We start from the raw sequence: 27,640 nt of genomic DNA, 5'->3' as shown, positions 1-27,640 counted from the left end.
TGTCCTTCATGCACCCTTAGAGCCATTCATTTTTCCCAAATGGGGTGCATCCCACATTTTAGGATACGATTTCCATCGTTTCTAGGTTAATTTGGACTCATCCTTTAGTTCGCAGATTAAAAAATAAATCCTTCAGAGAAGCCTTCCAAGACTACTGCCCAGCTAAATTACTTTCCCCTTACAATAGGAGGCACTAAATACACCTTTATTGAAAGCCTATTCCCCCATACTACTTCATCGTATTCATTACATTGGGGCACGGTGCATTTATGTTGTCAGATCTCCTATTAACTAGAGAATAAATTCTGAGCGTACTGTGCCTCTCTGTACACTTCTGTAACTTCCAGATCTTTGCACAATGAATACAAATGATGTAAGGAATGACACCTTCACAGTTCCTGCAACCCCAGGATGGTTTAGCCCCACCTTCCCCCTCAGCCAATGACAGGCGCCCCCCTCTGCCGCTCCGGTCGCGGACGGTGGGCGGGGCCACGCCGTGACGCATCCGTGCGTCTGTGGAAGGCTGCGTTTCCGGCCTGAGAAACCGTCATGTTTCTGGGGAGTCACCTCAGCTGGCAGTTACCACCGTGTTAGAAAGCAGCCTCAGGACCGGCCACCTCCATCACTGGCGTCACCATGGGGGCTGTGCTGGGTGTCTTCTCCCTCGCCAGCTGGGTGAGTTCGGGGTCCCGAGTCCTCGCCGGACCTGCGGTTTGCGGGGAAAGGCCTCGAGACCAGAGCTGCACGGGCCTTGGCTCCAGAGGCTCTCGGGATGTCAGCAGGCCCTGGGCTACAGAGGGTCTCCGGGGCCCCAGACGCAAATCCGCGATACCCTCAGGTCCAGCTTAGGCGGCTCGCCCTCCGGGTTCCTCGGGGAACGGAAGAGGCTAGGCCGCCATTGTTTACAATTCGGATGGCTCCGCCCTGCGAGGCTTCCTGACTAGGTTCCTCTGGAGCTGGAGAGGGACCAAGGAATGACAGCTCCCAGCGAGGGGCTCCGGTTCCTCCCGAAGCACCTCTTAAGGTGCCATCATTTAGTTCTAGGTGGCTCAAGTAATATTTTTATCCCCTAGCACGGGATTTGCCAAAACTACAGAGTGTGTGGCAAAGCTGGGGTTTTAGCGGAGGCTTGTCTGCAGTTCAGGTGCAAGGGAAAGAAGCCCTTGTGGATTGTTATTCAAAATTGGAAACCAGGGCCTGAATATTTTGGGACTGCTGTAAGTCATTTATCCGAGGATAATCACCCCAGCATTCCTCTCTTCGAGAACGATTGTGACAGTGAAGTGAAGGTTTAATCACCTTGTAAACTGTAAACATTTTAAAGAGAAAATTATAGGGCCTATAAAAGAATATGCTGAGTTCCCTCATTTACCCACTTCAGAGGAGCGTGATTCCTTGATTCCTCATTCTCCAGCTGATTTAATTGACCAAGTGTGTAGAAAAAGCACACTCAGTTTCTCCTGCTGTACTCACAACACACTTTTGACACCTGATGTGTGGTGTGTGGGGATTTTCCCCCAAACATCAGGCAAACAGTCAGCTCTGCAGGGGATGCCAACTTGGTGCCCTACAAGTCAATTCCGAAGCTCTCTACTTGGAGATAGCATCAAATCACACAAGTGGAGGGCTCAGTCTCACAAGACTGTGCCCACTTTCTGTGCCAATGGCAAGCCTCAGGTTGTTTTACCTGTGCTTCTGACCGGCCACCTATAAATCAAAGTTCCCGTGACCTCCCTCCTTGGCTTTGATTAATTTGGTCACAAAACTCAAGGAAACATGTTTACTGGTTTATTATAAAAGTATTTTATTTTGTGTATTTATGTATTTTTAATTTTAGATTCAGAGGGTACATATGCAGTTTTGTTACATGGGTATATTGCCTTATCGTGAGGTTTGGGTTTCTAATGATTCCGTTGCCCAAACAGTGAACACAGTATCCAACAGGTAGTTTTTCAACCCCTATCCCCCCACCGTCCTTCCCCACTCTTGGACTCTCCAGTGTTTATTGTTGCCATCTTCGTGTCTGTGTTCCCAGTGTTTAGCTCCCACTTGTAAGCGAGAATATGCTGTATTTGGTTTTCTGTTTCTGTATTAATTCACTTGGGATAGTGGCCTCCAGCTGCATCTTTGTTGCTGCAAAGGACATGATTTTCTTCTTTTTTTATGGCTACTATTAATATATTTTTAAAGATACAGATGAAGTGATATGTAAGACAAGGTGTAGAGGGAACGGGTCTGGAGCTTCCATGCTCTGTCTGGGGCAGTGGCGCCATCTCGGCTCTCTTCAACCTCCAAGGGATTCTCATGTTTCAGCCTCCCGGAGTAGCTGGGATTATAGTGTATGCCACCACGCCCAGCTAATTTTTGTATTTTCAATAAAGACGGGATTTCGCCATGTTGGCCAGGCTGGTCTCGAACTCCTGGGGTGTGAGCCACCATGCCCAGCCAAAAGTTCTTCTGAACTTTGTCCTTCTGAGCTTTTATGCAGGCTTCATTATGTAGTCAGCATTCATTAAATCATTGGCTTTTGGTTACTGACCTAACCTTCAGCCCCTCCTTGGAGGGTCAGGGGTGAGACTGAAAAGTCCCAACCTCCTACTATGACCCTCACCCATCATGAAGCCACCTAGGGGCTGCCAGTCACCAGTCATCTCATTAGCATACAAAAAGACGCTGGTTATTCCAAGGATTTTAGAAATTGTATGCCAGGAAATGGGAACCAAACATACATATATTTGACAGTATTACACCAAGGATTCTGTTTCAGCTCTTTCTACTATTTTTCTTTTTTTTTTTTGGAGGGGGACAGAGTTTTGCTCTGTCACCCAGGCTGGAGTGCAGTGGCTCAGTCATAGCTCACTGCAGCCTTGAACTCCTGGATTCAAGTGATCCTCCCACCTCAGCCTTCCCAGTACAGGTGTGTGACACCATGCCTGGCTTCATTCCACTATTTCTTAGGAACAGAATGTATTTTAAGGTTGTTGGTCCTAAATCAAAAGAGTGTTCCATTTTTAAGGGCTTTCTTGAGAGCAGTGGTTTTCTAATTATTCTGACCTTGACCTAAAGAAAGATTGTACATAGTTGATCTGTGATCTGATGCACCCATATAGAGACAAAGTTTTATGAAATAATCGTTTACTGTACAATTTTTCTTTTATCTTCTATCACATTAGAAAATCCTGGTGAGTTGAAGGCCAGGCATGGTGGCTCACGCCAGGATGGTCTCAATCTCCTGACCTCGTGATCCGCCGGCCTCCCAGAGTGCTTGGATTACAGGTGTGAGCCACCGCGTCTTGCCCGGCTTTTACTCTTAAGTTATATGGGAATCTATTACAGAGTTTGAAAAAAGGAGTGATGTGATCTGGGCCTGTGTTTTAACGAGGTGGTTTCTGGTTGCTGTGTGGAGAATAGATGGTAGAAAAGTAAAGGTAAAGCAGTGTAGGCTGGGAAGAATCTTCCTCCAGCCTTTTGGGTTCTGTTTCTGGGGGCTTGTGAATTAAACTGACAAAACAGATTATTTAGAGTTTATGCATGCAAGACATGTACACACAGGAGTGCTCAGTAATAGTAACTCAAAGGGGGCGGTTAGAACTTGAGGCTTTTTTTTTTTTTTTCGTTTTTGAGAAAACAAGTTCCACTCTTGTTGCCCAGGCTGGAGTGCAATGGTGGGATCTTGGCTCACTGCAATCTCCACCTCCCAGGTTCAAGCGATTCTCCTGCCTCAGCCTCCCAAGTAGCTGGGATTACAGGCATGTGCCACCACGCCTGGCTAATTTTGTATTTTTAGTAGAGATGGGGTTTCTCCATGTTGGTCAGGCCGGTCTTGAACTCCCGACCTCAGGTGATCTGCCCACCTCAGCTTCCCAAAGTGCTGGGATTACAGGTGTGAGCCACTGCACCCAGCCAAGGCTTTCTAATTTAGTAGGAAAAAGGAAGCTGGGAGAAAGGCTTCTATGAGAAGAACAAATAGGTTTCTTTAGGAAAGACAAGTTTTTTTAGGAGAATAAATAGGAAATACGTTTGTGGTAGTACTTGTTTATGCAGGTATGGTGGGTCTTTCCAGCTTCTTCATGATCTTAAAACTGCCCTGGAGAGGGACTTTATGGCAGCCTCGTTTCCCAGAAGTTGCTGCTTTTAGTCAGATAAGAGAAGCTCCCAGAAGGCTTTTTTTTTTCCTCTGCATCTGTTGAAGCTCAGATGCTTCAGCTTAAAAGCTTAAAATAATCTTTATAACAATTCAGGGCTTCTTTTTTTTTTTTTTTTTTTTTTGAGGCTAATTTTGCATTTTTAGTAGAGACAGGATTTCACTGTGTTGGCCTGGCGGGTCTTGAACTCCTGACCTCAGGTGATCTGCCTGCCTTGGCTTCCCAAAGTGCTGGGATTACAGGCGTGAGCCACTGTGCCGGCCAACTCAGAGCTTCTGAATGGGTCGCTACAGCTGTGAGATGGGAACTTTTGCGCTTAATCCAGATGAGAGATGATAGTTGTGGCTTGGACAAAGGTGATAGCTAAGGATACTGTGAAAATGGTCAGATTCTGGATATATTTTAAGGGTAGAGCTGATGTACTGACAGATTGGATGAGGATTTTGGGAAAAGGGAAGGCATTCGGGATGACTCCAGGTTTTGGGCCCAAGCAACAGGAAGAATGGAGTTGTCATTTACTGAAATAGAAAAATGACATAACATATAGTAGGACAGATTTGTCCCACAGATATTTACTGAGTACCTGCTCTGTAAAGATACAAAAGATATAACGTTGTAAAGATAGTCTCCCCTTCGAGATATTTACATTCTTAAGACAACTATAGGTAAGTAAGTTTATTAGTTTGCCAGGGCTTTATAACAAAGTACCACAGACCGAGTGGCTTAAACCCAGTGATTTCTTATCTCTGAATTCTAGAGGCTGGAAGTCTGGGATGAAGGTGTCAGCAGGGTTGGTTCCTTCTAAGGGTGGTGAGAGAGAATCTGTATCATGCCTCTCCCCTGGCTTTTTTTTTTTTTGGTTTGCTGGCAGTCTTTGATGTTCCTTGGCTTGTAGATCTCTGCCTTCACATGGCATGTGGAATTCTCCCTGTGTTGTAAGCCTTTGTCCAAGTTTCCCCTTTTTATAAGGACACAGTTATATTGAATTAGCTGCTCACTCTACTCCATATAACCTCATCTTAACTTACTACATCTGCAGTGACCAAGTAAGGATACATTTTGAGGAATTGGGCATTAGGACTTCAACATAAGAATTTGTGGAGGACATGCCTCTGCAGTGTTTGGCCTATACTGTAGTTAAGAATTGGAGACTGAGACTGGCTGGTCAATTTCCCATTGCTATTGCAATTACAAATAATAATGGCTACCACGATATATTGAGCCTGATAAATATGTCAGGCATTATACTAGGTTCTTTATATTCCTGACATCATCTCATTCTTTGCTCAATCACCCTGTTCGAGTAGGTGGTATTATGCTCATTTTTACAGATGAGAAAACTGAACTTTTTTAGAATGTTAGCACCCTGCTGCAAACCACACAAAATTATCATAAAGTGCACACAAGATACCATCTATAAAAAAATGAAGATTATTCCTGGGACCATATTTTAAGACCAGAGTTATCCATTGTTTACTTCTGCTAATTCTGAATTAGCTTGTCCTTGTAATATGACTTGATAATGTCACCCCCTCAGAGCAATTTCAAGCAGTTTCCTAATCAAGCATAATGACTCAAATTATATCCTCTCTTAGCTGGGCATGGTGGTGCTTGCTTGTACTCAGGAGGCTGAGGCCAGAGGATCGCTTGAGCCCAGGAGTTTGATGCTGCAGTGAGCTGTGATCACACAACTGTACTCCAGCTTGGGCAACAGAGTGACGCCTTGTCTTTTTAAAACAAAACAAAACAAAGGCCGGGTGCATTGGCTCATGCATGTAATCCCAGCCCTTTGGGAGGCGGAGGCGGGCAGATCACTTGAGGTCAGGAATTCGAGACCAGCCTGGCCAACATGGTGAAACCCTGTCTTTACACAAAAATTAGCTGAGCATGGTGGCACGTGTCTGTAATCCCTGTAATCCCAGCTACTTGGGAGGCTGAGGTAGAATTGCTTGATCCCAGGAGGGTGAGGTTGCAGTGAGCCGAGATGGCGTTACTGCACTCCAGCCTGGGAGACAGAGTGAGAACCTGTCTCAAAAAAAAAGAAAGAAAAGAAAAAAAGAAATAAAATTATATCTTCTTTCATGTAGTGTGGTCACTAACAGATTTTAGCAGACTAAAGATCTAGGTTACTCTTTTTTTTTGAGACGGAGTCTCAGTCTGTCGCCCAGGCTGGAGTGCAGTGGCACAATCTTGGCTCACTGCAACCTTGGCCACCCGGGTTCAAGCAGTTCTCCTGCCTCAGCCTCCTGAGTAGCTGGGATTACAGGTGCCTGCCACTGCACCCGGCTAATTTTTGTATTTTTAGTAGAGATGGGGTTTCACCATCTTGGCCAGGCTGGTCTTGAACTCCTGACCTTGTGGTCCACCTGCCTTGGCCTCCCAAAGTGCTGGGATTACAGGCGTGAGCCACCACGCCTGGCCCTAGGTTACTCTTTAAAAAAAAGGAGGTAAAGTTGACATAAAATTAACCATTTCAAAATGTTTAGTGGGCCGGGTGCAGTATCTCACGCCTGTAATCCAGCACTTTCGGTGGCCAGTGTGGGTGGATTGCCTGAGCTCAGGAATTCAAGACCAGCCTGGGCAACATGACAAAACCCTGTCTCTACTAAAAAATACAAAAAAAAATCAGCTGGGGGTGGCATTGCACACCTGTAGTCCCAGCTACTTGGGAGGCTAAAGCACAAGAATTGCTTGAACTCAGGAGGTGGAGGTTGCCGTGAGCCGAGATTGTGCCACTGCACTCCAGCCTGGGCAACAGAGTGAGACTGTCTCAAAAAAAAAAAAATAAAAAAGCGTATAGTGGCATTTAGTACATTCACAATGTTTTGCTGCCATCACATCTGTCTAGTTCGTCGCCCTAAAGGGAAATCCTTTACCCATTAAACCATCACTCCCATTTCCCTTCCCTTCAACCCCTAATCTTCTGTCTCTAGATTCACTTATTCTGGATATTTTATTATATAAATGCACTAATACAGTATGTGACCTTTCATGTCTGGCTTTTTAAATAACTTTGCATGATGTTTTCAGGGTTCACCTGTGTTCTATCATGTATCTATCTATTATGTCTGAATAAGCCATTGTATAGATAGACCAAGTCTCACTCTGTTGCCCAGGCTGGAGTGCAGTGGCATGATTTCAGCTCAATGCAACCTCCACCTCCTGGGTTCAAGCAATTCTCCTGCCTCAGCCTCCTGAGTAGTTGGGGCCACAGGCATGAGCCACCACGCCCGGATAATTTTTGTATTTTTAGTAGAGATGGGATTTCATCATGTTGGCCAGGCTGGTCTTGAACTCCTGACCTCAGGTGACCTGCCCACCTCAGCCTCCCAAAGTGCTGGGATTACAGGTGTGAGCTGCCGCACCCAGCCAGATATACCATATTTTTACTTAGGCCATATTTACTTATCAATTAATGGACAGTGGGTTGTTTCCACATTTTGGTGATTGTAAATAGTGGTGCTGTGAATATTCGTGTACAAGCTTTTGTTTTAATAGCAGTTTCAAACAAAACAGCTATTGGGGTCGGGTATATACTTTCTGGGTCATATGGTCATTCTGTATTTAACTTTCTGAGGAACCTGGTTCCTCTTGAATTGAGCTAAATGGCCCTTGCTGTTATTATTTGTCAGAGGGTTTCCATGTAGTGTTGCTTTATTTTTTTATTTTATTTTATTTTTTTGAGATGGAGTCTCGCTCTGTAGCCCAGGCTGGAGTGCAGTGGCGCAATCTCAGCTCAGTGTGAGCTCCGCCTCCTGGGTTCATGCCATTCTCCTGCCTCAGCCTCCTGAGTAGCTGGGACTACAGGCGTCCGCCACCACACCCGGCTAATTTTTTCTGTATTTTTAGTAGAGACAGGGTTTCACCGTGTTAGCCAGGATGGTCTCGATCTCCTGACCTTGTGATCCACCCGCCTCGGCCTCCCAAAGTGCTGGGATTACAGGCGTGAGCCACCACGCCCGGCATGTTGCTTTATGTTGTAATATCAGCTTTGGTAACTTGGATTCGCAGTAAGCAGCAAGTGGAGTTAGGTTTATATTTTTCTCATATTTTAAAACAAATGATGCTCTCAGAATATAATTAACATTTATTGAACTGTTAATGCATTTTAGGTAGTGTTGAGTGCTCATTTAATACAGCAGAGTCTGAGGGAGGAAAATTCCATTATTGAGCTCATTTTACAAATGGTCAAATGGGGTTAGAGTACGTAACTTGCTGGGGTAAAAAGCGGCAGAAATAATATTTACTCCAGAGCCCGTACTTTTAACCACTTCCTCCCAGCCATGATTCTCTGAGTTAAAACTATAAAGCCTGATTTGCCTCGCTTTCTCTTCTGCGACATCTGTGTCATAAAGGAGTATACTGAAGGCGGTCTCAGGTGACCATGGTGTGCTCATTCCAGGTTCCATGCCTCTGCAGCGGTGCCTCATGTTTGCTGTGTAGTTGCTGTCCTAACAGTAAGAATTCCACGGTGACTCGCCTCATTTATGCTTTCATTCTCCTCCTGAGCACTGTCGTATCCTATATCATGCAGAGAAAAGAGATGGAAACTTACTTGAAGAAGGTAAGAAGTAACAGTGCCCTTAAGGTATTGGTTATTTTTATTTTTATATTCTGCAAAATTCTAGTTTTATTTCGTCGTTGTTAATCAAGTTGGTTGTAATTTGGAGATTTTTTACTTATATGGGGGTGTGGTCAAAACACAGAAATATGAGGACATTAGTCCTTTTCCAGAAATACAGAATGAACATCTGGGCTCCAGTCGAACAACTGAGAGAAAACATTAAAAGGGTGGCTCCAAAACATTTTCTTTCCTTATGTGTTAAAGGTCGAAGCATCTAAACTGGACTAGTTCTTCACCTTTGGAAGGACTCAGTCGTAGCTGGAAAATCTCACAGGAAAGTGGCACACAGCCTCTTCATCCTAAAAGGGCAAAGAAGAGAGACCATATTTTTTTGAAACTAAGACTCACTCTGTTGCCCAGGCTGGAGTGCAGTGACATGATCTTGGCTCACTGCAACCTCCGCCTCCCTGGTTCAAGCAATTCTCCTGCCTCAGCCTCCCGAGTAGCTGGGATTATAAGCATGCACCACCATGCCCGGGTAATTTTTTGTATTTTTAGTAGAGATAGGGTTTTCACCATGCTGGCCAGGGTGGTCTCGAACTCCTGACCTCGTGATCCACCCACCTCGGTCCCCCAAAATACTGGGATTACAGATGTGAGCCACCGTGCCCAGCCGAGAGAGCATTTTTATTTTTAAAATGCATGTTATTTATACTGTTTGGTAACAAGATTGTAAATGAATTGGAAGACAAAGAGAAAAATTCCATAGTCAGTCTTGCAGTTGTTGAAGTAGTTAATTTTCTAAATCCAGGCTTTCCTGCAGTGGGTTAGAGTCTCTGTCTAAATGTAGATATTCTCGTAACATTGAAATTGCTTTTTTCCAGATTCCTGGATTTTGTGAAGGGGGATTTAAAATCCATGAGGCTGATATAAATGCAGATAAAGATTGTGATGTGCTGGTTGGTTATAAAGCTGTGTATCGGATCAGCTTTGCCATGGCCATCTTTTTCTTTGTCTTTTCTCTGCTCATGTTCAAAGTAAAAACAAGTAAAGATCTCCGAGCGGCAGTACACAATGGGTATGTTAGATTTATGATTAACTGGTTACATTATGGTGTGGCTCTTCCTTCCCTTCAGCAGTTAATATAGCCATTCTGATGAAATCAATGGAATATGTAAATGAGTGGCTCAGATGCATTTCTGATCTATTATGCATGTGAAATTGTTTTAATGTCATTTTCAGTTAGATTGCTGTAACATGGAGGGGATAGGGGGTCTTGTCTTTTTATTTTCTTCTATTAAATTCCTTTGCTTCATGTTCTTAGATTTTTATTGAACACCTGTTAAATAGTTGAAGCACTATGCTAGATACTACGTACACACACACTTTTTTCTTTCTGTTGTTTAAAGATAAACATGTACCTGATAAATTTAAACAGTGTACAAAAGTCAGTGAATATATATGTGCTACTGATTTACATATTCTATTGCTTCTGACTCCTGACCACCTTTTACCTATGTTTCTAATTCTCTCCTTTTTTTTTTTTTTTTTTTGTTTTGTTTTTGGAGATGGAGTTTCACTCTTGTCACCCAGGCTGGAGTGTAATGGCGTGATCTCGGCTCACTGCAACCTCCCCCTCCCGGGTTCAAGTGATTCTCCTGCCTCAGCCTCCCTAGTAGCTGGCATTATAGGCACCTGCCACCATGCCTGGCTAATTTTTGTATTTTTAGTAGAGATGGGGTTTCACCGTGTTGGCCAGGCTGGTCTAGAACTCGTGACCTCAGGTGGTCCGCCCGCCTTTGCCTCCTGAAGTGCTGGGCTTACAGGCGTGAGCCACTGTGCCCAGCCGTATTTCTAATTCTCAAAGACTGAATGGCGTTTTATAAACTTGATGTGTATTATAATCCCCTTTTTACAGATGTAGTAACTGAACTGCAGAGAGGTTAATAAATTGTCTGAGACCTGTTAACCAGTTGGAGGTTGGAGCTAAGATTGAAACTTAGATCTGTCCAGCTCCAAAGCCTGGTTCTTTCCACTCTGCCATACAAGGCAGTCATTAAAGATCATGAACTGAAAATCAGGTGCCAGTGATGAGCTGTGTCATTGTGGGCAAGGTATCTGTGCCCTGTGTTGTAAATATTTGTGATTACTTTTCATCCAGACCTTAACAGTTAATGGCTGTGTGTGTACCTAACACTGTTATTTTAGAACTCCCAGAATGCTAGAAAAATGCCTACCTTTAAGTGCTAAAAGTAGGGAGACTCTAAATTTTCAGTTTTCTCTGGTAATAAATGTGAGTGATTTATCTTCTAGGCTAATGTTGTCCTTTAATTGTGTGAAATATTAAATGAATTAGCCTATTAAATGAATAGTCAAATGAAGAAAATAGTCCAGACAATCATGTTGGGAAAAAAGCTATTAAGTTATTATTTTTGCATTTCAGAAATGAATTTTTCTCAGTATAAGGGTGAAACTTAGCATTTCATAAATGCATTTTTATATTTTAATAGGTTTTGGTTCTTCAAAATTGCTGCCCTTATTGGAATCATGGTTGGCTCTTTCTACATCCCTGGGGGCTATTTCAGCTCAGGTAGGGTTCACCATTGAGGGGGTTAATTTTAAACTATATAAACTCTATAGATGATTGAGTTAAAGCTACATTTTAGGCCGGGTGCAGTGGCTCACACCTGTAAGCTCAGCACTTTGGGAGGCCAAGACGGGCGGATCACCTGAGGTCAGGAGTTTGAGACCAACCTGGCCAATATGGTGAAGCCCTGTCTCTACTAAAAATACAAAAATTAGCCAGGCGTGGTGGTGCACGCCTGTGATTCCAGGTACTCAGAAGGCTGAGGCAGCAAAATTGCCTGAACCTGGGAGGCAGAGGTTGCAGTGTGCCAAGATCGTGCCACTGCACTCCAGCCTGGGCGACAGATCAAGACTCTGTCTCAAAAAACAAAACAAAACAAAACTACCTTTTAATTACTGTTTTTGTAGAACTGACAAGTAAATGAGATGGTATCCGATTAATATGACTTAGTACCTGCAACTCACTATATATATATATATATTTTAGACAGTCTCACTCTGTCTCCCAGGCTGGAGTGCCGTGGCACGATCTCAGCTCACTGCAACCTCCACCTCCTGGGTTCAAGCAGTTCTCTGCGTCAGTCTCCCGAGTAGCTGGGATTACAGGCGCCCACCACCACGCCCAGCTAATTTTTGTATTTTAGGCAGAGACGGGGTTTCACCATCTTGGCCAGGCTGGTCTTGAACTCTTGACCTCATGATCCACCTGCCTCAGCCTCCTGAAGTGCTGGGATTACAGGTGTGAGCCACCACGCCCGGCTGCAACTCATTATTAATATGTGGATTTAGGTCAGGAGGCATTCACTGCACCTCTCAGATTTTCTGGAACCATATGTTAATCTTTTGGCAATATCTTAATAGTTTGTGTTCTCACTTGATGGAATACAAAGCTAATCAGAGAGCCTGTCAAAATAAGGACTTACAACTCTTGTGCTCCCCTATCTCTGTCTTAACCTACTTCCTAAGCATGGCATCAGGTGACATCTTTAGATTTCTACTGTGATTTAAAAGAAAAGACTTATAGTATCATTTGGAACTCAGGTCCCAGGCTTCCCTTGGCACAAGCTAAAACATATTTTAAAAGGTCTGAAACCCAGTAGAAAGCTTTTAAGAATGCCGTTGAGTTTGGAATCTTGCTGTACTGCTGGAGACAGAATGTCTTTACCACCTCTGTCTTGTTTTAATTGAAATCCGTTCAGAATGTTGGATCTTCTGAAATGTTACTCTATGGTAGAGAATAACTTTGTTCTCTTGGTTCTTGTAGTCTGGTTTGTTGTTGGCATGATAGGGGCCGCCCTCTTCATCCTCATTCAGCTGGTGCTGCTGGTAGATTTTGCTCATTCTTGGAATGAATCATGGGTAAATCGAATGGAAGAAGGAAACCCAAGGTTGTGGTATGCTGGTAGGTATCTCTACTCACCTATGTTAGCCATACTGCTACATTAAGCACGGTGTACAATAAAAATCATCATTATAGTCCCAGCAGCTATAGTCCTCAGGGACAGAAGTCCAAGGTGGGAGAATGGCTTGAATCCAGGAGTTCAAGACCAGTCTAGGCAGCATATTGAGACTCCATCTTTACATTAGAAAAAAAAAATTTGCCAGGCATGGTGGCATATACCTATAGTCCTAGCTACTCAGCACGCTAAGGCAGGAGAATCTCTGGAATCCAGGAGTTCAAGGCTGCAGTAAGCTATCATCATGCCACTGTACTGCAGCCTGGGTGACAGAGCAAGACCCTGTCTCTAAAAATAATAATAACATTAAATAAAAGGAAAAAAATCCACAATTTCCAGAATTTGGCTCTGAATTATATGCATCACTGGAAGAAAGTAGCACAGATAATATAAATTGTTCGATTTTCCCAATTTATGTATTTTGAGAGTCATAATTTAATTACATGTGTTTAGATAAGGAAAAACAGTTATATTTAGTGACTTAGTTCTGGTTTTGATAACCTTGTTTCCATGGAGAGGAAACTCAGATGGGTTCAACATATGGGACAGCTGCCCACCTACTTTAGGCAGATAGGAGTGAGTAGTCCTTATGGCCTTATTCAGAGAGGGGCCCCATACCTGCTATGAAAAACTTTCTGGTGGGAAAGGGGCACTTACAATTTCTAGAGTGATAATGGGATTTAACAGTAGCTTGCGAATATATTTTGGCTATGTTAGAGCACTTACTACTTCATAATATACATTTGCACACATTTCTGATTATTTCCTTAGGACAGATTCCCAGAAATAGAAGAGTCAAAGTGTATGAATATTTTAAAATGCTTTCAGTACATACTATTGAATTGCGCAGTTTTATTTTCATTTGATTTAGTTTTTTAAAATATTTACATGTTTTTAAAAATACTATGTTTACCATAAAGACAAATGATAGAACTTTATAAAGACTAAAACATGCAAATCTCCACCTATCTGCAACCCATTTTCCTTTCCAGATGTAGCCACTCTTGTGAACCTTTATGTATTTATGCATTCACCTTGCTTTTGTATTTAAATGTAAACAGGATTGTACTGTATGTTGTTCCATGACTTGCTCTTTTCACTTCCTACATGATGAATATCCTTCCTTACCAGTGAGTGTAGGTATGTCTTACTCATTTAACCTGCATTCAAGCTCCTGGCATGGAGTTTACTGTAAGCTGCATGGTATTCCATTCCATACAATTCCATGGCATTCCATAGCGGAGTATACCATAATTTATTTAACCTTTACCCTAGTGTTGGTCATTTAAATTGTTTGTAATGACAATTTTATTTTTATCTATTTTTTTTCTTTTTTTTTGAGATTGGGTCTCACTCTCTCACCCAGGCTGGAGTACAGTGGCACAATCATGGCTCACTGCAACCTCTGCCTTCCTGGCTCAAGCTATCCACCTCAGCCTCCCAAGTAGCTGGGACTACAGGTGCACACCACCACACCCACACTACCACGCCTACACCACCACGACCGGCTAATTTTTGTGTTTTTTGTAGAGACAGGGTTTTGCCATGTTGCCGGAACTCCTGGACTCAATCGATCCACCTGCCTTGCCCTCCCAAAGTGTTAGGATTGCAGGCGTGAGCCACCACACCCGGCTGTTATTTTCTTTAATTCATTTTGGATCATACAACTCTAGAAGAATTTATTGAGTTGCAAATTGGTCATACTTTACAGTAACTAAGTGTAGAAAAATCTTGTATATTCAGAGGTGAAAACATTAAGTGTGCTAGTAACTTAATGTACATCATTTAATTTTAGACATGCAAAATTCATTGAGATAAGTAGAAACTAGTTTTCTTAATCTGGGCTTTGACTTGAATACAAGTTAGCTGAGCTCATCATTCTTGCAGTTGGTCTGAGTGTACTGTATGTGCTGTTTCATGTTTTCTAATTTTCAGAGCTACACAGCTAATTGTTTTGTTTGTTGTTTGAGATGGGGTTTTGTTCTGTTGTCCAGGCTGGAGTGCAGTGGCACCATCTCGGCTCACTGCAACCTCTATGTCTTGGGCTCAAGCAATCCCCCTGCCTCAGCTTCCCAAGTAGCTGGGGCTACAGCCTTATGCCACCATGCCTGGCTGATTTTTGTATTTTTTGTAGAGACAGGGTTTGGCCATGTTGCCTGGGCTGGTCTGGAACTCAGGCTCAAGCAATCCAGCCACCTTGGCCTCCCAAAGTGCTGGGATTACAGGCATGAGCCACCATGTTCAGCCAACACAGCTAATTGTTGATTTTTAGTGTGAATGGAAAAGACCATTACTTTAGATATTAAAAAATAGCAAATGAGCCACTTTTCCAGTTCAGGGACAGTCTTATTGTTTGTGATGGGAAATGGATTTAGATAGCCAATGGCTGCAGAGGAAAAAACTGTCATAAAAAGATACCAGTGTGTGTATTCTGTTTTCCTCTAACACCATCCTGGCATGGAGCTTGCTGTGAACTGGGTCATTTTGAGGGTAAAGGAATCATTTAGGTTCCTAAGAAAAGCTCACAATACACATTAATTAACATATAGGTAGCAGTAAACTCTAGCTGGAATGATCAAATGTCTGGTAATCAACCCATGAAATCAAATCAGGTAATTCAGGAAGTGAATTCAGTTGCTTGGTGGATTTTGGAATTTAACATCAAGCCAATTGAATACAATCTTGATACTTTAACCTTGAGACCTCTGTAATTTTACTGTAAATTACCCCAGAAAAGTGACATAATGTCTCCTCATTTTTATATGGAGTGGAAGAAAATTGGCCTTCATTATTAGTTTATTATAGTTGTGGTCATTCATATTGGTTTCCCTTTCTCCAGCTTTACTGTCTTTCACAAGCGCCTTTTATATCCTGTCAATCATCTGTGTCGGGCTGCTCTATACATATTACACCAAACCAGATGGCTGCACAGAAAACAAGTTCTTCATCAGTATTAACCTGATCCTTTGCGTTGTGGCTTCTATTATATCGATCCACCCAAAAATTCAGGTATGATTGTTTACTACTTCTTTCTCCTGTGAAAGGTTTTTAATTCTAAGCTTAAAATCTAGGTACCCTTTCTTATGAATTTATGTCTAAGTTTATCCACTTGAACATTTTTCCATATTATAAAGTCTTCATAATTCTATTTCATGCCTATATCATAATTAAATGAATTTCACTATCATTAAAAAAAAACCCAGGTAACTTGAAAATTTATAGTGCTTTTTTTTTTTTTTTTTTTTTTTTTTGAGATGGAGTCTCGCTCTGTCAACCAGGCTGGAGTGCAGTGGCACAATCTCGGCTCACTGCAACCTCTGCCTCCTGGGTTCAAGCAGTTCTCTGCCTCAGCCTCCCGAGTAGCTGGGATCACAGGCAGCCACCACCGGGCCTGGCCAGTTTTTGTATTTTTGGTAGAGATAGGGTTTCACCATCTTGGCCAGGCTGAACTCTTGACCTCGTGATCCACCCGCCTCGGCCTCCCAAGGTGCTGGGATTACAGGCGTGAGCCACCACGCCTGGCCGGGAATGAGTCTTTTTTTTTTTTTTTTTTTGAGACAAAGTCTCACTCTTGTCCCCTAGGCTGGAGTGCGATGGTGCAATCTCAGCTCACTACAACCTCCACCTCCTGGGTTCCAGTGATTCTCCAGCCTTGGCCAGGCGCCTGCCACCATGCCCGGCTAATTTTTGTATTTTTAGTTGAGACGGGGTTTCACCATGTTGGCAAGGCTGGTCTCGAACTCCTGACCTCAGGTGATCCACCCATCTCAGCCTCCCAAAGTGCTGGTTTTACAGTTGTGAGCCACCGCATGTGGCTGGGAATGATTCTTATGAGTCATTAGCCAAGATATTTTAGGGGAATTAAACTGAAAAATAATTGATTTTAATATTTCAAAACAAAACTCATGCTCTTGAGTTCTAAATACCATAGTTTAGGCTGGGTGTGGTGGCTTAACGCCTGTAATCCCAGCACTTTGGGAGGCCAAGGCGGGTGGATCACTTGAGGTCAGGAGTTCAAGACCAGCCTGACCAACATGGTGAAACGTCATCTCTACTAAAAATACAAAATTAGCTAGGCGTGGGGGCGCACACCTGTAATCCCAGCTACTTGGCAGGCTGAGGGGCAGGAGAATAGCCTGAACCCTGGAGGCGGAGGTAGCAGTGAGCTGAGATTGCGCCATTGCACTCCAGCCTGGGCAATAAGAGCGAAACTCCAGCTTGGCGTGATGGCTCATGCCTGTAATCCCAGCACTTTGGGAGGCCAAGGCGGGCAGATCACCTGAGGTCAGGAGTTCAAGACCAGCTTGGCCAACATGACGAAACCCCATCTCTACTAAAAGTACAAAAATTAGCCGGGTGTGGTGGCGGGCACTGTAATCCCAGCTACTCAGGAGGCTGAGGCAAGGAGAAATTTGAACCCAGGAGGAGGTTGCAGTGAGCTGAGATCGCACCACTGCACTCCAGCCGGGGTGACAAAAGCGAGACTCCGTCTCAGAAAAAAAAGAAAAAAAAACCGTTTAAAAAAATTCATGGAGTTATAGATATGAAATATGAAAATTCTATCTAGACATCACCTTTCCTTTTAAAAGTGAGAAAACAGAAGTCTCAAAGAAGTGATAGGCCTCTCCCAGCTACTAATTAGTTGCAGAGCTGATCTTAGATCTTTTCACTACACCAAGGGAGTGGAAAATCAAAGTCCTTGTGTGATGCACAGGAATTTCTAGGATTGTGAAATGCGTTGAGAACCAGTAGTACTTGCTTGGTCTTTCTGGGTTCTTTTGCGAGCTAACTGAACAGAAGGTTACTTGTCACCTTTCAACTCTCAAGAAGAATCCGAAAGTTCTCAGTTACTGATAGTTGAATTAACTCCAGAGAAGTGCACTGCATTTTGGAAAGTCAGCCCTTGGCAGTCCCTGTGCCACTGTTTTCCTTTTGATTCCATAGGAACACCAGCCTCGCTCCGGCCTCTTGCAGTCCTCCCTCATCACCCTCTACACTATGTACCTCACCTGGTCAGCCATGTCCAATGAACCTGGTAAGGGAATGTCAATAACACATTCATTTGATAAAAAGAAAGTAGGAAATCAGCCTTTACATAGTTGGTACAAAAACTAGAGCTAGAGCAAATGTGAAACAAGCAAACAAAACTTAAACGTACAGTGTTCACTGTAGGTTTGTAGGTATTTACCTTTCACATTTTAGTCCCCACATCTATTGATAGCTATTTATAACTGACAGTCTAAAGGGTCAGAGTCCTTTAGATGGTCTAGGCTTTACCTAACCTAGGCTGAGTCAAACTAGTTAAGAGCTGTGGTCAAGGGCTTTGGCCCTTTGTTGTGACTGAATTTTAGTTTGATGTCACAGGCTGTAGAAGAAACAGCTGTAGGAAATCTCCTTTTGTAGTTATTATAGGATTGTTTCTCAGTAGGATATTCTATGGGCTTCTTTTAAAGGAAAACAATGCAGACCCCCCTTCCACCAATGATAACTTATATTTTGTTCTTAAGTAACTATGTAAAAACCAAAATAGAGATAAACTTCTGTGCTTAAAACCTTGACACTTAAAGAATTAAAAAGATTTGTCAAACTACAAAACCAATAAAATCAATAATGATGTTTATGAAATTTGACAGATTCTGTTGTTGTTTTCTTTTTTTTTCCTAATTCTGTCATTGATTGTGACCAAACGTGTTACTACTGACTGCTAAGTTTCAGATTTTTTAAGTAAAGCATTCCCATGTTTCACATCATGACTGAATGATATGTAGGGAACTCCTCAAGTTCTTTCTTGGAACAAGATGAGCTGTAACCAAGGATAATACAAATTTTCTCATTTTCAGATCGTTCCTGCAATCCCAACCTGATGAGCTTTATTACACGCATAACTGCACCAACCCTGGCTCCTGGAAATTCAACTGCTGTGGTCCCTACCCCTACTCCACCATCAAAGAGTGGGTCTTTACTGGATTCAGATAATTTTATTGGACTGTTTGTCTTTGTTCTCTGCCTCTTGTATTCTAGGTAAGTTAAAAGGTACTTAGAACAAGATTTTCATGGAGGTTGATAATAAAGTGAAGAAGCTGTTTTGCTTTCAAAAAGCAGCATGAGAAATTTAAAAACTTCACTCTCTTTAATGAAAAGTTCTTTACTTGCTTCAGTTACAGAGCTGTGTACATATATATTTTTTTGAGACAGTGTCTTGCTCTGTCACCTAGGCTGGAGTGCAGTGGCAGGATCTCAGCTCACTGCAATCTCCACCTCCTGGGTTCAAGCAGTTCTTCTGCCTCAGGCTCCCAAGTAGCTGAGATTACAGGCACCTGCCACTATGCCTGGCTAATTTTTGTATTTTTAGTAGAGACAGTGTTTCACCATGTTGGCTAGGCTGGTCTCGAACTCCTGACCTCAGGTGATCCTCCTTTCTCAGCCTCCCAAAGTGCTGGGATTACAGGTGTGAGCCACCATGCCCAGCCTGTAGTAAGTTTTGAAATTAGGAAGTATGAGTCCTCCAAATTTGTTCTTTTTCAAAATTGTTTTGGCAGTTATGGGTCCTTTGCATTCCCATGTGAATTTCAGGATCAGCTTGTCAATTTCTGCAAAAAAATATGTAGCTGGGATTTTTATAGGGATTGAGTTGAATCTGTATAGACCAAATTGGGGAGTATTGTCATCTCAGCAATATTAAGGCTTCCAGTCTGTGACCATGAAGATACCTTACTGAAGTCTTCTTTACTTAAACCATTTATTTAGGTCTTTAATTTCTTTCAGTGGTTTATAGTTAGTTATTAGTATACAAATCTTAAACTTATTTTGTTTTTAAGTGTTTTATTCTAAATACAATTCTAAGTATTTTATTCTTTTCGATGGTATTATAAATGAATGTATGTTTTCTTAGCTTAACTTTTGGGTTGTTTATTGCTAGTGTATAGAGATATGATTGGTGACGAGGCATGGTGGCTCATGCCTGTATTTCCCACACGTTAGGAGGCTGAGGTGGGAGGATCGCTTGCATCCAGGAGTTTGAGACCAGTCAGAGCAAGATAGTAAGAGCCCGTCTCTATAAAAATTAGCCAGGTGTGGTGGTGCAATCTGTAGTCCCAGCTACTTGGGGAGGTGGGAGGACCAATTGAGCCCAGGAGGTCAAGTCTGCAGTGAGCTGTGATTGTACTACTACAGTCCACCTGGGTGACAGAGTGAGACCTCATCTCAAAAAGAAATACAATTGATTTTTGTGTTTTTTTTTTTTTTTTTTTGAAGAGAAGAAGTGTTGCTCTGTCATCCAGGCTGGAATGCAGTGGTGTGATCATAGCTCACTACAGCCTCAAGCTCCTGGTCTCAAGTGATCCTCCCACCTCAGCCTCCTGAGTAGCTGAAACTACAGGCACACACCATCATGCCCAGCTAATTTTTAATCTTTTTAGGAACAGTCTTGCTGTGTTGCACTGGCCAGTCTTGAGCTCCTGTCCTCTGGCGATCCTCCCACCTCAGCCTCTCAAGTAGTTGGGATTATAGGCGTGAGCCACCACACCCAGTCCTGATTTCTATATATTGATCTTGTATCCTGCAACTTTGGTGAACTTATTTATTGGTTCTAATAGTTTGCATGTGTATGTATTCCATAGGATTTCCTATAAACAAGATGAAGTCATCTACAGATAGAGATAGTTTTACTTCTTTTCTAGTCTGGATACCATTTATCTCTTCTATTTGCTCTGGCTAGAATTTTACTACATTGTTGGATAGAAATGGTGAGAGTAGGATCCTTGTCTTGTTCCTGATCTCAGGGGGAAAGTTTTTAGTCTTTCACTGTTAAGTATGATGTTAGCTCTGGGTTTTTTGTTCCTTTTGTCAGCCTGAGGAAGTTCTACTTTGACTGTTTTTATCATGGAAAGGTATTGGATTTGTGAGATGTTTTTTCTGTGTCTGTTGAAACGAGCATGTAATTTTTGTCCTGTTTTTGTATTTACATTTTTATTCAGTCATTTAACAAACTTTTAGTGAACATCTGTAGTGCTAGAATTACATAGACTAAGGTCACTGTTAAGGCATTCTTTGAATAGCAAGGAAGATAGGAGTGATATGTGCAGTGGCAGAAGGAAGCCTAGGAAGCTGTGGGAAGTCGGAGGAGTGTCTTGTAACCTAGCCAGTGAGGGGTGATGTCAGGGAAGGCCTTCCAGAGGACATGACAGCAAGTCAGAGAAGTGAAGGATGAGTAAGTTAGTTGGAAGGAGGTTGGCACGTGGTACCTTCCAATCATAGAAGCGGCACTTGTGAAGTCACGGAAACAGACACAGAGAGCATAGTGTGTTTTATGAAACTCCTAAGCAATTAAGCCATCACATCAAGTAGTAACTGATGACAGTGACGTCAGTCTTATGATGACAGGCAGCAGTTCAGAACTTTAAGCAGGATCTTCAGAAAGCTTTCAGTCTCCAAAGTAGGAACAGCTCAGCAGTAAGTGTCTTGTATACAGGCCAGTGGCAGCAGTTCATTGTCATGGCCCCTTTCTGATTTGTCTTCCTTGGGATCACTTTCCAGCATCCGCACTTCCACTAATAGCCAAGTAGACAAGCTGACCCTGTCAGGGAGTGACAGCGTCATCCTTGGTGATACAACTACCAGTGGTGCCAGTGATGAAGAAGATGGACAGCCTCGGCGGGCTGTGGACAACGAGAAAGAGGGAGTGCAGTATAGCTACTCCTTATTCCACCTCATGCTCTGCTTGGCTTCCTTGTACATCATGATGACCCTGACCAGCTGGTACAGGTAGGAGACACAGACAAAACAGACAGAAGACCATAAAACCCTTGGATGGCCTATAAAATCTCATCCATTGTCCTGACCTCAGAACCCTTGCTCTTACCCATATAATGAAGTTGGGTTAAATACTCTTGACTTTATCCCCTCTAGCATTTAAAACCCATTGGAATTCTTTGCAATGCAAATCATTGGGAGCTCTTACAGAGTTGAGTTAATTGAGAGAGAAAATCATGACATAAAGCAATCTGACCCATCTTTGTTCACTAATTTTCTGTGTATAGAGATGGCCATGTCAGAGCATTCTGGTTCCCGTAATAATGTACTAAGGAAGGAAAGTTTCAGGGAGGCTATCTCAATCTAGACCTTTGCCAGTAACTAGGAACATTTAAAGAACTTTGCCCTGATAGGGTCTTTCATGCTGGCAAGAAGAAAAGTCATTTGAGAGGCAGAGTCAATGAGCTGTTTAGTTCTTGGTCATAAGAACTAAAAATAGCAGCTTCCTCTGGTCCCCTTCAACCCTACTGGGGGGTAGTGCCAGCCAAGTTTCACTGGAGAATTTCTTGGCCTTGGCTGGGGGGCTGCAGGAGGCTGATAGAAGTCAGGTAGACCAGGCTTTTCTACCTGACTCTCTCTTGTTTTCTTAGCCCTGATGCAAAGTTTCAGAGCATGACCAGCAAGTGGCCAGCTGTGTGGGTCAAGATCAGCTCCAGCTGGGTCTGCCTCCTGCTTTACGTCTGGACCCTTGTGGCTCCACTTGTCCTCACCAGTCGGGACTTCAGCTGAACCTCTGAGTGCCAAGGACACCACTGGAACTCACAAAGGTCTCCTTCACCGAAAACCCATATACCTTTTAAGTTTGTTTCAACTAAAATATTAAGTGAATGCTTTGCAAGTTTGACTGTATGCAGGTTTATATCAGAAGGTGAGATTGAATAATGCTTGATGCAGAATCGAAACTTCTCATTTATCTGTATATTATGTTTACTTCTAAGGATATAGCACAAAGGGAACATTTTTTGTTTAAAGTGAACTACAGCTGTGCTGTGAAGAGAGTTCTTTATAAAGCCTGTAGGTTCTTTTAACTTTGGTTTAAAATGTAAGATAGGAAAATGTTGGATATTTGAGGCCATGCTTAATATATTTATATTGCAGTATCCTTTAAAAGCAAAAAAAAAAAAATGCATTTATATTACAGTTTTCCTCTATGAAAGTCCTTACTTATATGATACAAGCACTGTGTTTTGTGCTTAAACTCTTCAGCGGGGTAGCATCAAAGTTCTTGGGGAAGGATCGTATATGTGGGTCCCTTCCCTAGAAGAATGGTTGCTGATATGGCTACTGCTTCTACATCTTGAGTTTTTTAATTTACTTTTTTTACACTGTAGCATTGAGACTGCTTGATTCAAGTCTGGTGCTTTGCCAGATGTATTAATTTCCATAAATGCTTTGTGAGTTTGGTTAAAATGAAGATTCACTTGGGAAAACACTGCAGCTTTAGTCTGTGTTACTATCTTGTTATGAGTATGTAAAAGTAAAATGCATGTGAATTTATCATATTTGCACTATGAAGGTATTTGGTTAAAATACAAAGACTTTTAAGATTTTAAGGCCCTTTCTTCCAACAGCTTTTATAGTTAGCAGCCATTCTTTATTTTCTGGATAGCCAGGTTTTATCACGCTTCTAGTCAGGATGCTCCTATTCCTTCTAAAAATTACGGTCTGACTAGTGAGCAAAGTCTTGAATTTATTCAAAAGTCCTAAATACCTTCTCTAGGTAAGACACTTGGTAGATGAGAGACGGAAGGCATTGTCAAGAACCATTTTCATGAGAGGTGGTGTGCAAAAAGGTAGAATAAAAGAGTTCTTTCAACAAAGATTTACTGTCTATTCTGTACTAGACCCTGTAGGTTTTGGGGTACAGTGTTAAACATGATAGAGGCTCTGCCGTCTTGGACTTTAATAGCTTAGAGAAGAGAGCAAATGAGCTGACAGGTGGTTATAATGTGAATTAGTGCTGTGGTTTAGGAATTGGAGAGAACTCAAAGGAGAGGTATTTGGTGTAATGGTAGGCTTTCTGGAGAAAATGATATTTAAGCCAAGAACTCTTAGAAGTTAGCTAAGAGAGAGATGGGAAAATGAGACGACATTGCTGGAGTAGATAAAACTGCATGTTAAAGGCAGGAAGATGGGGAAAAAAAGTTCAGTAAAGCTGGAATGGGGAAATGTAGTCAGGGACTGAATTTTAAAGGGCTTTATCAACCTCAGTAAAGAGTTTGGACCTTATGTTGAGGGTGGCTGAAAACATATTCATAGTGTCATGAACAAATTTTATCTTCAGTCACTTGGGCTGATATATAGAGAATGGATTTAGAGAGATGAGACCAGGTGCAGTCCATATGAGATGTGAAATAGAGAAGTGGAATCGTAGGGACGGGGAGAAATTGACAGGTGAGGGCTACTTAGCAATTAGAATTTTTTTTTTTCAATTTTAATTTTTTTTTTTGAGACGGAGTCTTGCTCTGTCGCCCAGGCTGGAGTGCAATGGTGCGATCTCCGCTCACTGCAGGCTCCGCCTCCCGGGTTCACGCCATTCTCCCGCCTCAGCCTCCCTAGTAGCTGGGACTACAGGCACCCACCACCACGCCTGGCTAATTTTTTTTGTATTTTTAGTAGAGACAGGGTTTCACCATGTTAGCCAGGATGGTCTCGATCTCCTGACCTCGTGATCCACCTGCCGCGGCCTCCCAAAGTTCTAGGATTACTGGCATGAGCCACCGTGCCTGGCCAGCAATTAGAATTTTAACACTGGCAGTTATGAATAATATGAAGGAGAGGTAGATTTCTGAGTGATTCTGGTTTAACCAGCTGGGTGGATGGTGGTTCCACGTATTCAGGTGGCAAACAGGAAAAACATGTGTTCGAAGAAGAATGGAGGTAGGTGGTCTCTTAAGAATGGTTAAGAGGCTTGGGAGTCAGACTGCTTGGGTTTGCATCCCAGCTTTGCCGTTTTCTGGCTATCAAACTTGTCAGCTATTATTTGTTGAGTACGTACTATTTGATTTATGACCACAGGCAGCTGAGCCTCAGTGTTGGTGCCTAGTGTACAAGATTGTTAAAGAATAAAGTTATTTTGCAAAGTGTAACCCATTTTTAGCACTGACATAGCACTGACAGTAGCTGCTGATCTCATTATGGGCTAAAATAAGACAATATTCAAAGGTCAGAGATATCTAGCCAGAATCTGATGGAGGCTGGATTTCAGATTTTGTTACAGAATTAGACAGAGGAACACAGAGGGGACAGGCTCAGTTAGGGTGGAGGTGTGGGGTAGGGAAGCAGGACTTGATATAAATTATTGGAATCATTGTCTTTTAAACCAGTGGTTTATGTCAGGGTATAGCGTTTCAAGGGATTTGAGGGTCAGATGGGGAAATGTAGCCCCTTATTTTGCCAGTGTGAAGCAGATACCCTGCTTTTCTTTACAGTAGCGGAGTCAGCTTAAGAGCTTTAAAGGTCCTAAACTTCAAAAACATTACAGTGCCCCATCCTCCGCCTTAATGTAATTCAAAATACAAACAATACTAAACTGTAAAATAAATGTAACAAAGTCCAATAAAGTTTTTATTTTTTTCTCATGATGATAACTGATATTAATTTGAAGTAACAAATGCTCTTTAAAAGTCGGGAGGCAGTGTCCCTGCTTTGCTTGGTCCTACCTTAAGAAGTAGTGAAGTCTGCCTCTTAGTAGGAAAACCAGTAGTCTAATCAAGACTCAAGTGAATTATACATGTGAATGCTGAATTATATACAAGCATGAGTAAGACAGCATTCTGAATAAGGCCAGGATCATCATTTAAAGCAGGGGAGTATTTTGAGTCATCAGATCTCAGGGTGGCCTTTCATTCCAGATGAGTACCTTTATGTTTCATCACTATGAAAGGGCTTGCCTAGCCTTGGGGAATGCGGGTTGGGGCCCTGGCTTTCAGATCAGGGACATGCTCTAGGAACTCATCAAAGGCAATAGCAGTGGCTGCCACTTTTACCTCGTTAAAGCCGGGAGAAAGCTTCTAGGTCCATGCTGGACTCCTTTATTTTCTAGGTTGGTCTTGCGGGTTATCTGGTTGGGAAGTAAAACTTTCTCTTGGTAATCAAAGAAACTGCCTGCCAAAGAGTAGCCATGGACCTGGTTCTCAGTATAGAGGTTTTGTTCTTTTTCTTTTTGGCTAGCCAAGTGAGGAATGGAGAAGGAACAAAGAAATCTGTAACTGGTTCTTTTTTCTTTTTTTAGACAGAGTTTTGCTCTGTTGCCCAGGCTGGAGTGCAGTGGTGCCATCTTGGCTCACTGCAACCTCCACCTCCCATGTTCAAGCAATTCTCCTGCCTCAGTCTCCTGAGTAGCTGGGACTATAGGTGCGCGCCACCACACCTGGCTAATTTTTGTGTTTTTAGTAGAGATGGGATTTCACCATGTTGGCCAGGCTGGTCCCGAACTCCTGGCCTCAGGTGATCCACCTGCCTCAGCCTCCCAAAGTGTTGGGATTACAGGCGGGAGCCACTGCACCTGGCTGTTTTTACACATTCAGGCTAAAGTGAGTATTCACATAATGAGTTGTGCATTTGATCTGTGCAGATTGATAACAGATAGTAGGCTTATGCTTATTAATGGAAGCTGCTGTTCATCTCTTTACTCCTGTTGTGTTGGTCTGTCCGTCCTGTTACCTAGGCACCCAACTCAGTGATGTCCTAATTACTGCTGGATGACTCAAGCCACACCATGCCTATGTTCTCAGGTGAAGAAGAATAATAGAAACCACATAGATGGGTAGGTGTACCAAGCATTAAACAGACAGTATCCACATGCCTGTAAGGTGGTGATTATTTCCCTCCCTCCTTCCTTTTACGTATCAGTTTGAGGCTTAGAGAAGTTCGTGACTTGCCTATGGTTACTCAGTAAGAGGTGAAACAGAGAAACCCAGGGCTTGGCTTAAGAGTTCTTTTTTCAATTAGACCTCAGTGTCTCTTGGGCCATAAGAATATAAGAGACAGGATTTATTAGAGACATGTAGGGGAGTCATCTGGCTCACTAATGACTCATCACCAACTCACCAGATCTACCATGGGAACCTAGTTTTTGTCTACTCTCAGGCACAGAGTGTTTGCTCCTCTACCCATCACTGACAAAGACAAGTTAGTAGTCACCTGAAGGCAAGTGACTCATGTCTTTTACTAGGTCAGCTATCCCTAGTGGCTGGCACCTACTCAGGAAAAAGCATGAATATTAGGTTAAAAACGTTTTCCCCAGAAGAGTGGTACCCTAAAGGGTCTTATTACTTACCCTTTAAATGCGATAATGTGAAACTTTATTGCCATTGAGTGTATGGGTACCAAACCAGTACTGTGTAAGGAGGGGGCAGGGGGCATCAAGAAAATACTGACTCATGGAAAAGGGCCTCATAAGACTGCTGTGAGAGAAAAGGATTTTAACAGTTAGCTTCATTTTTCTATATGTGAGAAACAGACTGAACTTAAGTTCCACAATTTCCTCAGGAAAGGCTGACCTGAAGGGGTGGTTATGCTGCAATATAAGTACTTAACCTGTTGCATCATCAAAAGTGTACCTCCTGTGTTAGAGTATTTCTCAACTGACTCATCAAGTCACCAGATCTACCATGGGGACCTAGTTTTTGTCTACTCTGGGGCACAGAGTACCAAATAAACAGGGGACATAGAAACAGCTTAGCAGGCCTGGGACCATAGTTGGGCAAGCCGTGCTCCAGTTACCCCTCAAGGAGTCTGGGCTTACTTCTGGAATAAAATGTTGTTACAACTTGGGTTTCAGAGAGGTTAACAACCACTGCTTGTATTTTCAAGAAGCCAGTTAAAAAGTCAATTTCTGGTTCTTTCTTACTCTATGAAAGAGTCCTGCCTTCTCTCTCTCTTCTATCTGGGGACTCGTTATTTGTCTCCAGCCATCAGGAGAAAACAGTGGGCTTGTCATACTTCCTGGGTTTGAATCCCATCCTTAGTATTTGGCTAGTTGTGTGTCACTGGGCAAGCTACATTTTGCCAACAGGAACAGTAATGCAGCTTCATTAAGGGTAGCTGAAGGTTAAAATACATTATTTATGAGT

The 27,640-nt window shown here is 42.6% G+C and overlaps 1 protein-coding gene across 2 annotated transcripts, besides 5 other annotated features; it reads left to right on the top strand.

Moving 5' to 3' along the window:
• Positions 326-620: an enhancer, noted in NCBI's record as "tiled region #7879; HepG2 Activating DNase unmatched - State 1:Tss, and K562 Activating DNase unmatched - State 1:Tss". NCBI's record gives its function as "activates a minimal TATA promoter and a strong SV40 promoter by Sharpr-MPRA in HepG2 and K562 cells {active_cell/tissue: HepG2 | K562}" and the evidence as "EXISTENCE:reporter gene assay evidence [ECO:0000049][PMID:27701403]".
• Positions 326-836: a biological region, named in NCBI's record as "Sharpr-MPRA regulatory region 7879".
• On the top strand, positions 518-26,367 carry SERINC3 (serine incorporator 3). Of its 2 annotated transcripts, NM_198941.3 has the most exons (11): positions 518-675; positions 8,548-8,709; positions 9,594-9,787; positions 11,220-11,299; positions 12,560-12,697; positions 15,592-15,761; positions 17,697-17,787; positions 18,593-18,773; positions 21,288-21,515; positions 22,154-22,330; positions 26,233-26,367. In NM_198941.3, exons 1-10 carry the CDS (start codon positions 637-639, stop codon positions 22,290-22,292), a joined length of 1,422 nt encoding a protein of 473 aa, NP_945179.1. In that variant the 5' UTR covers positions 518-636; the 3' UTR covers positions 22,293-22,330; positions 26,233-26,367. The 2 variants fall into 2 exon arrangements, with proteins under 2 accessions (NP_945179.1, NP_006802.1); NM_006811.4 differs by lacking the exon at positions 26,233-26,367 and having other exon boundaries at positions 22,154-25,147.
• Positions 527-836: an enhancer, noted in NCBI's record as "active region_17926". NCBI's record gives its function as "activates an Ori minimal core promoter by ATAC-STARR-seq in GM12878 lymphoblastoid cells {active_cell/tissue: GM12878}" and the evidence as "EXISTENCE:reporter gene assay evidence [ECO:0000049][PMID:35858748]".
• Positions 755-1,307: an enhancer, noted in NCBI's record as "H3K27ac hESC enhancer chr20:43149922-43150474 (GRCh37/hg19 assembly coordinates)". NCBI's record gives its function as "activates a minimal SCP1, AML or CMV promoter by ChIP-STARR-seq in primed H9 embryonic stem cells {active_cell/tissue: H9 hESC(primed)}" and the evidence as "EXISTENCE:reporter gene assay evidence [ECO:0000049][PMID:30033119]".
• Positions 25,201-26,400: an enhancer, noted in NCBI's record as "P300/CBP strongly-dependent group 1 enhancer chr20:43124829-43126028 (GRCh37/hg19 assembly coordinates)". NCBI's record gives its function as "activates an origin of replication core promoter dependent on BRD2, BRD4, P300/CBP, MED14 and CDK7 cofactors, with strong dependence on P300/CBP, by STARR-seq in HCT116 cells {active_cell/tissue: HCT116}" and the evidence as "EXISTENCE:reporter gene assay evidence [ECO:0000049][PMID:35650434]".

Source organism: Homo sapiens, chromosome 20 (assembly GCF_000001405.40).
Source record: "Homo sapiens chromosome 20, GRCh38.p14 Primary Assembly".
Lineage (NCBI taxonomy): Eukaryota > Metazoa > Chordata > Mammalia > Primates > Hominidae > Homo > Homo sapiens.
The sequence above is the reverse complement of the archived record's forward strand: the minus strand, read 5'-3'. Positions and strand labels throughout refer to the sequence as shown.

Coding starts and splice junctions, on each gene's coding strand:
- SERINC3 (NM_198941.3), top strand. CDS start 637: ATGGGGGCTGTGCTGGGTGTCTTCTCCCTCGCCAGCTGG. Junction 8,710..9,593: donor TGGAAACTTACTTGAAGAAG/GTAAGAAGTAAC, acceptor GCTTTTTTCCAG/ATTCCTGGATTTTGTGAAGG. Junction 21,516..22,153: donor ACCCTGACCAGCTGGTACAG/GTAGGAGACACA, acceptor TTGTTTTCTTAG/CCCTGATGCAAAGTTTCAGA.